At 33.9% G+C, this 15,721-nt stretch overlaps 1 protein-coding gene, 1 long non-coding RNA gene and 1 pseudogene across 6 annotated transcripts in view; 2 read left to right on the top strand and 1 right to left on the bottom strand.

The window, feature by feature from the left end:
• The window catches only part of PCDH9 (protocadherin 9), a 927,503-nt gene that overhangs the window by 587,990 nt on the left and 323,792 nt on the right, over positions 1-15,721 (top strand). For 3 of the 5 annotated variants that reach the window (XM_017020619.3, NM_020403.5, NM_203487.3), the window contains one exon: positions 10,936-11,137. In XM_017020619.3, the coding sequence (XP_016876108.1) occupies positions 10,936-11,137 (202 nt within the window). The remainder of the gene's footprint in view (positions 1-10,935; positions 11,138-15,721) is intronic. The other 2 variants (NM_001318373.2, NM_001318372.2) reach the window with 1 other exon arrangement.
• Positions 1-15,721, bottom strand: part of LOC105370247 (uncharacterized) — a 99,761-nt gene that overhangs the window by 17,799 nt on the left and 66,241 nt on the right. The gene's annotated exons all lie outside the window — the stretch shown is intronic.
• RNU7-87P (RNA, U7 small nuclear 87 pseudogene) lies at positions 11,571-11,632 on the top strand (annotated as a pseudogene).

Genomic DNA, 15,721 nt, shown 5'->3' with positions numbered 1-15,721 from the left:
AGCACCAAACATAGCCAAAAAGGCCTTTTTTGGACTATAACATATATCAGAATTTATCTTCATTAATTTAGGCTTTCTGAGATTAAGTTAATAAAGTTTGGATTTTATTTTCAACATTAATAAGTAAAGATCTCAGATATGTTTGACAATTTTACTGTCTAAAAATATAAATTCCACATTTTAAGACACATATAGCATGTTTGTATTGGTATTTGTGCATCAGTTTTGTTACATGAATATATAGATACCTATACATATGCTCACAAATGTATATATACATTTTATCTATATCTTAAAAGTATCTTTATTTTATTCCTCACTTACATAACTGGAAGTAAATAAATAGTGCTTGAATATTACACATTTCTAATCAAAATATTTCAACTGCAAACAATATTTTCATTGAAACCCTTTGAGAAAATTAAAAGAAGGCCAGTTAGAATATGCTTGCACTTCACAATACAAACATTTTTCACAATACCATTACTAAGAAGAAATACATGAATTTTTTGTAACTTTCTTTTTTTATTTGGTAGTTAAATACAGACACAGTTTTGCATTGGATAGTCAACCCATATCGATATTTCTATCTACTTAACTACCTATATCTCTCTGTCCATCCATCATCTATCTGTCCCTTCATATCATGCATTAATAAGTCTAAGATTTAAGATGAAATTCAAAGGATGCTTTTTTGTGTGTTCTATATGGCTAGAGACAGTCCCTTCCATATCTGTTGTTTCCCCTCTCTCCTCAATTCTGGAAAACATTTCTCAAATACATGTCATGCTTTTAGTAGAGCCTGGAGGAGAGAATGCGGTAATTTGTCAATAGTCTCATTGTCATGTTCTGTTCTTGCACGCACATATTTCCATACACTGCGAGTGTAATTAGGATCTTTACCTACATTTTGTAGACTATGCATGACCATGCACTTTCTCCATACAAATTAATCCTCCCATTAACCTACTGAAGAGGATCAAGTTCTTTAACGTGACTGCTTGTTTTTGTGAATCCTATGCTAATTAATAGTTATATGGCTGTCTCCTTGAATCATAGACTAGAAAGCTGTGCTACAGGGGTACATCATTCCCATTGACATTTTTCTTTTTTTGCTGAAAAAGATGTGACTGATGGCTCAGAATTAATCATAATCCATGATCTGTCAGTGATAGATCTCCATTACATGATCTAGGACTACTGGAAGGAGCTTCTTAACTCCTTCACTACTTTTGAGGTCAGGAGTTTGAGACCAGCCTAGCTGGCCAACATGGCGAAACTCCATCTCTACTAAAAATACAAAAATTAGCTGAATGCAATGGGAAGCACCTGTAATCCCACTACTCGGGAGGCTGAGGCCGGAGAATTGCTCGAACCCGGGAGGCAGAGGTTGCAGTGAGCCGAGATTGTGCCATTACACTCCAGCCTGGGAGACAGAGTGAGACTCCATAAAAAAGAAAAAAAAAATCCAAAAGTTAAATAAATGAAACAAAACTGCATTGTGTGACACAAGATCAGTTGAAACAGATTATGCTACATTATAGGTGCAAATTAACAATCCGTCATGAGCATTTTTTAAACAACCTTATTGTACAGTAATCGTACTTCTCAGAGACTTTCTGCCGAGATCACTTCTTCAACCCCTCTATTTGTGTTTCATTCTCTAACTTGGAATAACATTATCTGTCCTTTAAAGGCTTGAATTACTAGTTTTCATTCTTACTAGGTAATTACAATCTTTTCCCTTTTCAGCAATACATGAGGACAGTTTAAAGCATGTTTGGATGTGTGTGTGTGTGTGTGTGTGTGTGTGTGTCTTTGCATGGGTGCGTGACTGTTTAAACTTTTTTACCAGTCTGGCCATAGTCTGAGGTTAATTATTGTATAAAATTGGGGCTATGTCCTAAAAGCTGCAACTTACTTTAAAAACGTGGCCTACTTTGGTTTTAAAAGTCTTACTTTGTATGGAGAATTATTAACAAGGGGAATGCTAGGGTGATTCCCATTACTTCTTTTGTAAAATCTGCTACAGGGAACTGAGACAAATTCTTGAGTAGTAGACACTGAATCAGATTCCATTTTTGTTATAAATATTGACAAGAGGTTTATCACACATTTTGTGGTGATACTTTGTTATCCAAAGTAAAGCCTCCTTTTTCTAAAACCGTATGTTGTATCTGTGATGTCTATATATTTATCTAATAATAGTGATAATTTAATGTAATTTCTAATTAAATTGCTACAGCCATCATGTATTCTGATTTTGTAAATATGGTAAGGGTAACTTACTTTCTCATTTGGATTTGTTTTTTCTAGAAAACTAAATTGGAAAGGACTCTTGCTGGGTTTTTTCCTCCATATTTCTGTACATATCATTAATAGATGCAAAATTCTGCTTGCAGATTCAGGAACAGCTGCTCCTGTTTAATGTAGTCATTTTATATTTCGTGTGCTCAGATAAAGTACCACATTCCTACTGGGCAATGAGAAATAGGTTGAGGACTTTTCTGATAGCAGGAACTAATAAACAAGAATATAAGAAGCAAATCACCAACAATGCAGACAATTTTTAATCCTCTCTGTTTGCTTTGAACCCCTGAGGAGACTTATAAGGGTGGGGCGATGTCCCCAAACCATAAAGGGAAGTTGATTCAGAACTTTCTTTTTTCTCTAATGTCCCACAGGAGAAAAAGATGTGAAGGAGAGTTTTTTGTTTTATGTTTGTTTCAAATGTTTAAATTCAAGCACCAAGACTACACCCAAAAGGAGTATAGGGTATACTTTTCTCTCAAGTTTCTTAAAGATACCAATTGTTTTTTCACATGATAGATGCTAGTTAACTGAAATCACAAGAAACAAATGTCAAATTACAGTAGACTACTTATCACCTTATGACATTAATATGAGTTCTCTACCACAGGGAGTCCTAAGAGGTATTTGATGCACTTTACAAATCCCAGAAAAAATACAGATCCTTAGTTTGAGGAACTCATTTCACAATAAGACATTTACAAATCAAACAGGCCAAGTTTAAGTCCATGTGAGTTTTCCACACACATAAAAACAAGTCTCCACAACTAAGCATGCAGTTGAGTAGTAAGTTAGAACAAAAGCTGACAGCTCTATCCTCAAACAAAGCAGTTGCTTAGCGGCAAACAGCAAACTGGTTAAAAGAGCAGTAAGTAGAGTGCAGACAAACTCCCCCATTTCCTCTGAAAATACTGCTTGACTTTAAATGGCCAGTTATCATCTGCACCCAATTTCTACTTTATATAGCATGCATAAAACTAGGAATCAAAAAATTTATTTTGAAATTGCTGACACCTTCACATTCATCAAATAGGATCAGTGAAGTTGTTGCTTATTTTTCTCAAACACAAACTGAACCTTCCCATTTGTCTCCAAATCTTCTAAAATGTAAAAATTCAAAGAGGAAAGGAGGAAAGGCTGACAGCTAGTGGAATGTTATCATGTTTCACTTTGCAACTTCTAAAACAGGGCAGGGCTCTTAAAAGTTATTATGGAGGAGACAGGTAACTTTTCCCGTGAGAAATCACACTGAAGGATGGACAATAATATTTCGTTTCTACTCTGTCCCCTTTAGATTTCATACGTTAATTCCAGTTAACTCATCTTCATTCAGTAAATAAATATTTACTGTAAGCTCATAACATGTCATGTGTATATGTTCCTCATAAAAAATTGCTAGTTTTGATTTCATCAATCGTTATTTGAGGTTGTTAATATTTTTGTAACTCTCTAGATGAAAAAAAATTGCTCATTAAGACATGCAAAATTCACAATTATTCTGTTTTTGAGTCCAGAATTACTCTAGCAGTCTTTGATACTTTTCTATTCCTTTTATTTTTTATGTTCACAAATTGGCAGTAAATTTTAATTTATGGCTGGCAACAGATCTGCAGATTGTTTTGGCATAAACTCAGAATACAGTCCCTTCGCCTTTTTTTTCTTACCTAGATTTCTACTGATTAATACAGTGAAAGTCTCCCATTCACACACTGACCTTGCCTAAGTCTGCATAGTTTGCAAGAATTAGAAGAGAATGACATTATGAAAAGGTGACACAGCTGCTGGTCAAAACAATCCTCAGGACTGATGGCAAGGAGCTTAATGAAATTCTACTTTTTAGAATATGATCTTATTTAGGAAGTTGTGGAATATAGTATTTGTCTTGTTCACCATTGTAGTATTAGCAGCTCGAGTAGTGTCTAGAATATAATGGTACTCAATAATTATTTAAGTGAAGAGATGAATGAGCAATGCTAATACCTTTATATTGGAAATCAGAAATTGTGGTTTTTAGTTTGGTTCTCTCATTGAAACCTATATAGACAAGTCACTTTACCTTACTTCCTTGTCTAAAAAAATGTAACATACTAAAATAGAAAATTAAATTTCTTTTTTTTTTTTTTGAGAAGGAGTCTTGCTCTCTCGCCCAGGCTAGGGTTCAGTGGCATGATCTCGGCTCACTGCAAGCTCCGTCTCCCAGGTTCACGCCATTCTCCTGCTTAAGCCTCCCAAGTAGCTGGGACTACAGGTGCCTGCCACCACACCTGGCTAATTTTTTTGTATTTTTAGTAGAGACAGGGTTTCACCGTGTTAGCCAGCATGGTCTCGATATCCTGACCTCGTGATCCACCCACCTCGGCCTCCCAAAGTGCTCGGAATACAGGCGTCAGCCACTGTGCCTGGCCAGAAAATTAAATTTCTAAACAATTTCCCACTCAAAAAAGGATGTGATTTCTACATTAGTGGAGCCATTTTAACATAAGTACTTCCAATAAACAGCATAGAAAATTAACTCAGTTTTTGAGTTACAAATGATAAAATGACTCATAAAAAATTCTCAACTCATAAAGTATTTTATTTATTACCACTAGAAAAGTGCTTTATAATTTTATCTGTCAAAACTATTTATTATTCTTGAGAATGAACACACATAGGTACTAGTAATTTCCATAAATCATAAGTTCAGAAACCTTAAGGTTTAAGTCTCATCTTTCAAACATGAATGAAGTACATGTGTGTATTAATATTTGTTACCCTTAAGTCGAGTCTGCAAATATTCAGAGCAATAGCAAATTAGGCCATAACCATAGATTGCTTTTTGGGTCCCATTTACTTTACTTTCTAAACCACAATGAGTTTTGGATTTTATTAAGAGGAAATGTGTGCATGCATTGATTTAAGATGGTAAGACCGTATTGAGGAACTTACCATAGACTATCTTTATGACAGCTATTTATAAATTACAATTAAATTGTGTTCTTATAAAAATAAGAAAGTTCAAAATATTTCTAGTGAATATTATAAGAAATATGTGTATTAAAATGCAGTTTCCAGTCTCTATATTTTTTAACCCTCTTTGGAATGATTTCCTTTGCTACTTTGAGAAGAGATATATATGAAAATATTTCAAATAAAGAAAAATCAAATCTTTATTGGATTTATGCAGAGATATAGCAAAAACATGTTTGAATATAAAATTTTACCATGGTTTTGTATTTTAGTTCATCATAAGTACTTTCTTGATGGTATGTGTGTTTGTGTGTGTGTGTATGTATTTAGCAATAGATAGATACATAGATACATAGTTAGAATGATAGATAAATAAATGACATATTATTGCTCAAGCATGGCAAGGGAATTAAATCAAAATTAGGTACAATGTTTCCACGAGAAGATATTTAAAGAATTCTCTATACATAAAATCATATTTAAACAATTACAAATAACTTTTTGTTTCTATTTTCATAATATCAATGTATAACATTCCATTGGACAATAATTATTTTAAATGTCTGTCATTAATTAGATAATTGGTTTATTTAGTTGGTAATAATTGGCTTAGTGCTAGATTCATGTTGTTATCATGTTACTTGAGAAGGCAAGGATCTTTAATTGTGATGATTAAAAAACTACGTAAAGAAAGTGAAGAATGGAAGTTAGAATAACAGAAAAGAGATCAGAAGATTGTTTGGCATACCTTAGCTCAAGGGAAAACCCATATACCATATATCAAATGTTTCTGTTCTTCTGGATTAAGCTCTAATTTTCTATAAGTGATGAAGATAAACAATTAAAAATTGGGATATGTTTTATTATTACAAAGATAATGTGTTGAAATTTTAGTGTGGTCAAAATAATAACATTTTTGAATATCATAATCACATGACCAAACAATACTACTTTAAACACTTGGTATATGTGTGGTTGGAAATTAGCTTATGCAGATTCACACATACATACACATTAACAAAAATGCAATTCAATTTAGCAAAATATTTACTAACTTGATTTTTAACTTTAACAATAGATTATACATATTTTCTATGCTAATACATATTAATTGACATAACTGTAAGTATTGTCAATACTTAACACAACTATATGGTGTGATCTTTACAGGATATTATATAACTTACTAATCATCTATTAGACATTTTACTGTTTTCTTACCTTTAGACTATTTTATGCAGAAAACAATGACATTTACCACCAAATCCTTGCACATAGGAATGTCTGTAAATTCATAAGACTGAAATAGTAGGCTTGAATGTGAGTCATTCACTTGTGAATGCTATTGTATACCAGTAAGAAAAACATAAGAGAACCATTCAAGCAATGATTGGGATTTCTTAGGTGACTCATTCTTTCAGTGAGTCTTGAAGAACAATGCTCAGTGCAGGACATGTACATCTTCATTAGGCATCTCGAATGTTCCTTCTTTTGCTTTTCTTCTAAGCTGCAAGAAAAAAGTATTGTAGAGGTTCTTGGTGATATTTCTCAAACCCAACCAGTGTGTCACCTTCTGACTTTCAGGACCCTGTCTCTACACCCCCATGTGTGAACACATGGCACTATTAATTGTGTAGAGTAGAATTTCTGATACAAACTTTGCCTAATCAGAATTCATAGTGGCAGTCCTGACAGAAAATAAAGTGTGGAAGCCTTAGTAGTTACTTCTTTCATCCTATTCTTTCTCAAGCCAGCCAGAAATCTGTATATAACCTGTCAATGATAAATCAGGTAAACAAATGTGACATGCAAACAATTAACTGGACAGAGGCAATAATAATAAAAATATTTCCCACAGGATAAAATGGAATGGGTAAGAAATAGATTTAGGAAAACAAAATGTAACTGCCCAGCTCTGGAGAGGCTGAAGGAGTCTCACTGTAATATGTGTTGTCCCTCTTCAGCCAGTCAGGATTTGACTACATTTATAACCCAGACTGAGCTTATTTCCATAAAGATGAATCAAAATGCAAAATTTTTGGAGGCAGTAAGTAAACACTTTTTCCTCTGAATATACCATTATATATGTACTGGAAGGATAATGGGCAACTCTTCACTTTCTCCAGGAAGAAAACATGTATTCCTGGTTTTTAGTCTTTCCCACCCCACACTAAGAGCTGCGTCACCTCAGAGAAGGCCCTGAATTGACAAGATCAATAGGTTGCATGGTGAGGCATGCCAAATTCTGTGGATCACATATTTCACTTGTGAAAGAACAATACTTTTTTGGAGGGGGTGGGGGATAAGGGAATCACATCTTTAAAACCAGCCAAATATTGATAGACCATAAGCTTTAAAAATGTAGTTTTAAATTTCAATAATTATAGCTACTTTTTATTGACTATCTCCAATGTATCAAGTATTGCATAGCAGGAACACTATCTACTATGTGTCATGTATTGCATACCAGGAACACTATTTTTAGCCTTTCAACACTTCCACAGGCAAGGTATTATTTTCTATTTCTCAAGGCCAGGAACTCATTCAACAGCCATGAGGTCTGGTTCTGGCTTCTTTTTAAATTGGTGCTCTGCAGTTCAACCTGAGCAAGTACTACTGAGCCCTTAAACACAACAGAAATCCTTGTCTCCTACACCTTATTGGTCTTTGTTTTTCTGCATGTCAATTTATTCAGTTCATCTCCTTACATCTGCCCTGATAGTTCAGACATTCTTTTACTTGCATCAATCATTATGATGATAAAGATGGGTTTGTTTCATCAATTTGCTTCATACCGTAATATCCATGTACTGATTCTTAATCCATACACATCACCACTCTCCCTCCCATCAGACTGATAGATTGTGCACAAATCTGCCAATTAAGACTTAAACATCTGAGTCAAATTAATTCAGAAAGATTTTCATAAGCCTCCATAGTTTAAACATTATATCACTCCAATTTACAGTGTCTAATTGCAAATAATTTATAGTAAATTTACATTTTTCTTATTCTCACTTATAAAGTGCTAAAGAAAAATAGTGTAGTGTATGTGAAACAGACTCTAATAAGCTATATTTGAAATAGTTTTGGAAAACAATGTTTTAGTTTTTCTTTTCAGTGTAATCATTGTACCAGGTATATAGTAGATGCTCAATAAAAAATTGTTACAAGGACCACCTGCAAGAACTGCAGGATTAAGGTATAACTAGTCGTGCATATTTAAACATTCATTATGAGGAAGAAATATCGTCATTAAAACAGTGTTAACTATGTTAAAAAATCTCACAGATGTATTTTTTTCTTTTTTACTTCTGTCTTTCAAATATATACTTCTTAATGGCTTAAGGGACTTCCAGAAATGCTTTACGAAGATTCAAGAATCATTTGTTTCATTGCTTTTCTCTTAAGACTTGACTTCTTTTTACTCACCAGAGTTAAGAGGTATTCCTCAAGAGATAATACCAAAGACACATTAAAATCTAGGAGTTTTCAGTAGATCAGTCACTGTAAAAGCTATGTTTGACAGTCATCCATAATAAGCACTGTGGTTCCTAGTACAGTCTTTATCACAAAAGGATATTGATAGATTGAGGGCATATTGAAACATAAATGGCTAATATTTGTATTATTGGTTTTCCCTGAAGAGTTAAATATATATAAGAGAGTAAACACTACAATAAATAAACATGGTAGCATGATCTTTCTTAGCCAGGAAGAAATACATTTCAGATATTAATATTCAAGCTTAGCTTGCCTTTTCTATAGCACTCACCTAGGCACGTTTCAAAACCTTTGAGAAGGGAATGATGTTCTTGAGATACATGTGCATGAAGGTGAAATGTGTTACAATAGAGGCAATTAGTACCATTTATGATTATAGTTTTTGTGATGTTGGCATCAGTTCATTAAAAATGTACTGAACTATCAACTCATTTCACACAGATCATTGAACAGCAGTAAAGTGATATCATCTCTACTCCATTATGACTCTGAATTGGATTTGAACCAGTGACTCACAGGATATAGGCTGTCTTCTGTTGTCAGTCTATAAGTATGCATTCATACAGTTTCAGTATACCTATCTATACTATTTTGTTTCTAACCGCAATCCTTTTTCTTTGAAATGGATACAATCTATAAATTGTCTCTTGAAAAGCACAAATTTTAGGTACTAGAAAATGATTATATTGTACATTATATACTTGTATATTATATATTTTTTAATATATACATTCATCATTTTATTAATTCTGAATTTAAGTGGTCATATGTAGCATGGTATCGAAAGGTCTTTTGGCTGCTAGGCAGAAAGAAAACTAGGTTTATTCAAATAGCGCAAATGTACTACTCTCATACAATTCTCTAAGGCCTAAATCTCCACCCCACATAATTATAAATATTCTCAGAGATCATAGCAGCTAAAAGAGCATTTTCCAAGAGAACTAAACCAATCTGTGCTGAGGAAACATTAAAATGTATTATTTTTTATGAGAAAACTTTTTTGGTAAACATGACAATGTATTGAAGTTACCATGTATACACTTTAGGTCACATCTGAGAGTGACATTGTGCACATAGATACCAAAGTGATATTCCAAATACCTTTCAACTAGGATATTCTATTCTACTACCAGTGTAGCCAAAGATTAGAGTGATAGCTGGGTCAATGGTCAAGAATAATTTCTAATTTAATCTCTTTTAAAATATAGTCTTCTTTTTATGTATATCAATAGCAATTGCATAGAACTTCATTATTTAAAATACTAATTTTAGCACAGCTAGTTCAGTCAGTCGATCCTGAGACTCTTCAAATAATAACTTTAATTAATTATTCCAGTATTGCTTTAGGGACACTTACATGGGTACGGTGTCCTTTAAAAATAGCAGGTGGGCTGGGCATGGTGGATCATGCCTGTAATCCCAGCACTTTGGGAGGCCAAGGCGGGCGGATTACCTGAGGTCAGGAGTTCAAGATCAGCCTGGCCAACATGGTGAAACCCCATCTCTACTAAAAACACAAAAATTCAGCCGGGCATGGTGGCATGCGCCTGAAATCCCAGCTACTTGGAAGGCTGAGACAGGAGAATCGCTTGAACCTGGAAGGCAGAAGTTGCAGTGAGCCAAGATCGCGCCATTGCACTCCAACCTGGGCAACAAGAACGAAACTTTGTCTCAAACAAACAAACAAACAAACAAAAAGGAGGTGGTACTGTAGGAAATATGTTGACTACAAATGTTACCCTAAAAACATCAAGTAAGCACAATGTCTGGTCATTCAAAAGAAATGAAATATTGCATTTTCTAAGTATTTATTTAGATTTATCAAAAGCATATTTGCATATTTCATCTTATTTAATTTTTTTCTGTAATTTTGTCGACAGTATAAGTTTTGTTTAGTTTTGTTTTGCCTTTCTTGTTACACTTTTCAAAGCCCCAACTTTAGTTTTAAGGTCGTGAATTATACAAGATTGAAATTCTTTTTGGTATTTTGCTGGTTGGCCATTACATAGTAAATGGCAAGTAATTAATACTTGTTCTTAGCTTTGTTCCTAGTTTGGTTTATTTTGCTTTTACATTGTGTTACTTGTTGAAAGTGTTTTGATTTTGTGTTCCACTAGGCCTGTTTTATTTGAGAGGAGTGTTAATCAGCATGTCCTGTGGTCTTCTTTGTAGTCGCAGCGCCGTGTTACGTTTCATCTCCCTGATGGCTCCCAGGAAAGCTGCAGTGACAGTGGTCTAGGAGACCATGAGCCGGTGGGTAGTGGAACCCTGATCTCACACCCTCTTCCTCTGGTTCAGCCACAGGACGAATTCTATGACCAGGCCTCTCCGGACAAGAGGACTGAAGCAGATGGCAACTCTGATCCCAACTCTGGTGAGTCCCCTTCAAAATTTTGATTGCTTGGAGTTGTTCTGGTTTTGTAGTGCACTTGAGCTTTCAAAAATAATTGTAGGGGGCAAGGATGAACATTTAGTTATTTTTTTGCTGGCTTTATTGTTGTTGCTGTATTCTTTGAGATATACATTTAATATGTTTGATATGATTTTGGCTGTTAAATTGTATGATGTGTCTTCATTTTATGAACCATTAAAAAAGAAAAAAACATGCTATAAATATAACTGAAAGAAGCCATTTGTTGCAAGATATTCTGATGTCAGAGATCTTATGAAATTTGAACACATTTTAGAACTGCAAAAATACAGTTAAGTAGAATAGTCAATGAAAAAAAGAAATCTATTTGCATATATAAATGTCCTATGAAATTTGATTTTCCAGTGAACACTTTACAAAAACAAATAAAGAATATTAGAGTTAAAGGTATTTTAGAATTTGTCTATCAGATTTTCTGGTTTTTACCAGAAAATTTAAAAAAAAAAGGATTAAATCATGATTAAAACAAGTGTGAAGAGGAGAGATAACAATTTGGGGGTTGTTTTTCCTTTATTGTCTACTTGAATTCTTGGATAATTTGTTTTTTTACTACTATGCTGAGGGAGATATATTTGGCCAAAACTTTTATTCTCCACAGACCCATACCCCACTCCAGAAATCACTGCCCACTCCAAATAAGCATTGTTGGGGGGTGTTTTCCTTGGCCTTTGGAGGAAATCTTGGGCAAGTGCTAATGCTTTTGCTAATAAAAAACACTGACTAGCTTACTTTTATTAAATAAATAAATAAAAGACCATTTCATCAATTATTATCCCCAGTCTAATGACTGTAATTTCTATTTTACTTAAATTCAAATTATTTTCTGGTGGGGTATGTTCATGGTGGGGAAAGCTATGCATGTGTGGGAGCAGGAGATATGTAAGAAATTTCTGTACATTTATCTCAATTTTGCTGTGATCCTAAAACTGCTCTAAGAAGTAAATAATAAAAATAGTAATTATAATAATGCATCTAAACTAAGCAGGGCAAAAAAAAATATTTTTGCTTGTTTGTTTGTTTAACTCATCTTAAACATGCTCCAAACTGGTTGCACGAAGTGGGAAATTGAAGTATGATGACTTTTTTCTTGATTTTCTACCTATTTTGCTTCTTATTGTTTCAAACATGAAAATATCTCTGGCATTTCTATGGTGGAAGTAGGAATACCAGGAGGAGGTAAAACATACAACAGGGCTTTCTTAGCCAGTTGTGTGATAGTAATACAGCACTGGTGTTCTCTGACTTCCAGCATTTTAAGCTGCTTCTTTTTGTCAAAAAAAGGACAGATTCTTTCTAAGGTATGCCTCCTTCCAATCCCCAGCATGTCCCCATCTTTGGAAATCTCTTCTCATTGGCAAATATAAGGCATGCAAAGTTACATTTTATCTTCTCTCTGCCAAGAATTTTCTCTACTCAAGGCAATCTTTCAGGAGTATCTAAGCTCCCTGCCAGCTCTGGTTTTGTTATTTCATGTCCTATACCTTGGTCACATAAAGAAAACATAAGTGCATCTTTTGATTTCACATATCGAGAAGAACAGGACATACCCAAGGAAAAAACCTCTTATTATTACACTGAATTTGGGAGAACAAGAACTATCCTCTTTTGATTTCATGGTTTTGACCAGTGTAAGCACCACTGAATCTAAGTGGTTTCATTGAATCAACCTTCTCCAGACTTCTGTGAAGAGGTTTATGTAGGTGGAATTCACACAGCTCTTTCAAAACTGTTTTCCTAGTCTCCAACTTTGCCCTCTCCAATTTTAAAACATCTCTTGTTGAAGTAAAGCTAAGAGTCTCACAGCTGGTTCCTGACCATGTTTTCTCTAAGTGTATGTGAGTGGTTGGCTCCTCTTGTCTATGGGCCTCAGACAAAACCAAAAAAGAAAGAGTCCCATTTAAAAAACAGTTGCACAAATTGTTTTAGGACTTGTCTATAGAGTTTACCAAAGTTAATTTACAAAGATATCTTCAAAGTATTTGTAGTATGTGCAATTCTAGGTAGAATATTTACAATGAATAAGATTAAGACAATGTTTCATGAACTTTTTGGCCAGAATAATGAAATATTTCAGATGCATATGCAAAAATTCTGGGTACAGTAAATTTAATCAGTGGATTTCAGAAACCAATGAACATCTGGGTAATTTTCTAGTTAACTAATTGAGTTAGAGATTTTAAAATTTATTTCAACTAGAAAGCAAAGGCAGCTTTTCAAATTTAATAGCTATAAGGATAAAATGAGAGTTATATATTTTATTTGTCATAGAATTTTTTGTCTTTTAGCCAGGGCCAACTGAGAAGTATCTGAGTACAGGAAAAATTGCAAAATTATGTTATATATACCTTCACTATCATAGCAGCAATATATATGCACAAAAATGAAAAATTTGTTGACTCTTATAAGAAATAATGCATTACTGAAAATCTATTTGAAGAAAAGCAAAACTTAGGCTTATGTGCAAAGGCTCACTTAAATATGTATTACAGCTTGGCATGGAAGCACATGCTTGTAGTCCCAGTTACTGGGGAGGCTAAGGCAAGAGGTTCACTTGAGACCAGGAGTCTGGGCAGCAGTGAGCTATAATCACTCAACTGCACTCCAGCCTGGGAAACAGAGCAAGACCACCTTTTCCTCAAGTGTGGGTGTGTCTCAAAAAATATGTATTACAATAAAAATTTGGTTTATGTTTTCTAGCTTAGTTTTTAGAAATAGTAAATTCTAAATTAAAGGCAAATGTATAAAGTTATTATGAGAAATTTATTGTTAAAAAGAATCATGTGGTAATATTTCATTTCATTTTTTGTTTGTCTGTTTATTTGTCCGGAGATTCAGGGATCCTTTGAATACTTTAATCAGAGCCTAACACAGTCTAAGAGTCTGAAGTCTCTAAGAGAAATATATGTTCAAGAAAGAAAAAAATAAAACATGAATGAGATAAAAGTAGCAGGTTGTTGATGGTTGGTAAGTTCATCTAGACCAAATATCTAGACCAAATGGACAGACAAGTTTTGTTTTGTATTTATCTTTGTTTTTTCGGCTAGAAAATAATTTTTACCAATACGGGTCTGCTTTCTCCTAAGCCCACACTTAAGAAAGCCCACATTTGAGTTTTCCAATCATAGAAAAGGGAAAAGAAAAAAATATATTTTTCCTAGCTTTTAAAGTATGCTTAAACTAAGCTGCCCCAGGCCAAAATATTGTCCAATACATATAACAATTTACCCAGTGACTTCGACCTAGGCAGTGGCAATGGGCCAGGTGCCAAATGGAAAAAGATAGCAGAGGTCCTAAACCAGGAAAATAAAAGCAAACAAACGAAAACCTTTCAAACTAGCTTCAAGAAATCTCTAGAGTTTTTACCAATCTAGTCACATGGAAAAAGACACCCAATGGACAGCACAACCTTGGGCAGCCCAACATTCACCCAGCACAGTGACGTCACTCACAAGAATAATGATCACTAAAACGTCTTTAAACTGGAGAGAGCAGGGCTCTTAGGTTGTGACAGTGCCTTGTTCATCATTGGGAAGGGGAGAAAAGAGAAAGTGGAGAAGCGAGAGGCCCTGGGAGCCCCTAGAGGCCAGCAGTTCTCTTGATGTTTAATGGGACATAAAATTTAAACCTCCTTTGTAAATGTCTAGAGCAGAATTAATTAGAATGGCCTAGAAATATTAAGAGAGTCAGACTGAATGTTCATTCATATTAGGATAGAATTATTACATATTACCTTTAAATTTTGCAGTCACATTTTTGGTAATTAACTTTGAGAAATTTGTGAAGTGAGGTACAGTGATATTGATGAAGTAATCATCTCTAGCAATAATTTTGCTATTTAGTTCTCTATTGTCCCCTTTGAATTCAGTGGAATTTGTTGACCGGGCTTTGATAGTTCCCGAAGAGTTGTGATTTTATAGCAGGTAAAATAGGTTTCTATTGGATGTCAGTATGATCTGTAGAAGTACTAAGTAATTTCGATTGTACTTATCTAGATTTCTGTTTTTTCAAATATGGTTCATATAAAAAAAGTCACTGAGAGCTGGTACTAATTTCTATAGTAACTATTTCCAGTAGGTATTTTTTCAAAGAAATTAATACAAATGGTAGTATCATGTGGAGACATTTTTGTAAACTTCAGGCTTTAATATAGGTTATTGCTTCTAAACACACACACACACACACACACACACACACACACACAGTGGCATTTGATCTAATAATACTGGCCTACAATAGTATTCTTTATTCCCAAGTTTATACTTCTGGGTTATTAGTATTATCGATTTTATATTATATCTAACTCTTGATTAAAACAATAAGTAAATGATGATAGTCTTTACATGCAATGCCAAAAACAAATTGTTTGCAAATTAAGCAATAATTGATAGGTTTTGTGTAAATAATGTTTATGTAAATCTAAAGCAGTCTCTACTACATAAGGTATGACACATATGTCACTAATTTTTTTGTGCTGGAAACAGAGCTTTCTTTTTTTTCTTCCATTTTTTAAAAATGTCTAATTCCTAT

The sequence above is a fragment of the Homo sapiens genome, chromosome 13, assembly GCF_000001405.40.
Source record: "Homo sapiens chromosome 13, GRCh38.p14 Primary Assembly".
NCBI lineage: Eukaryota > Metazoa > Chordata > Mammalia > Primates > Hominidae > Homo > Homo sapiens.
Note: the sequence above shows the minus strand (reverse complement) of the source record. Positions and strands in the feature narration are given on the sequence as shown.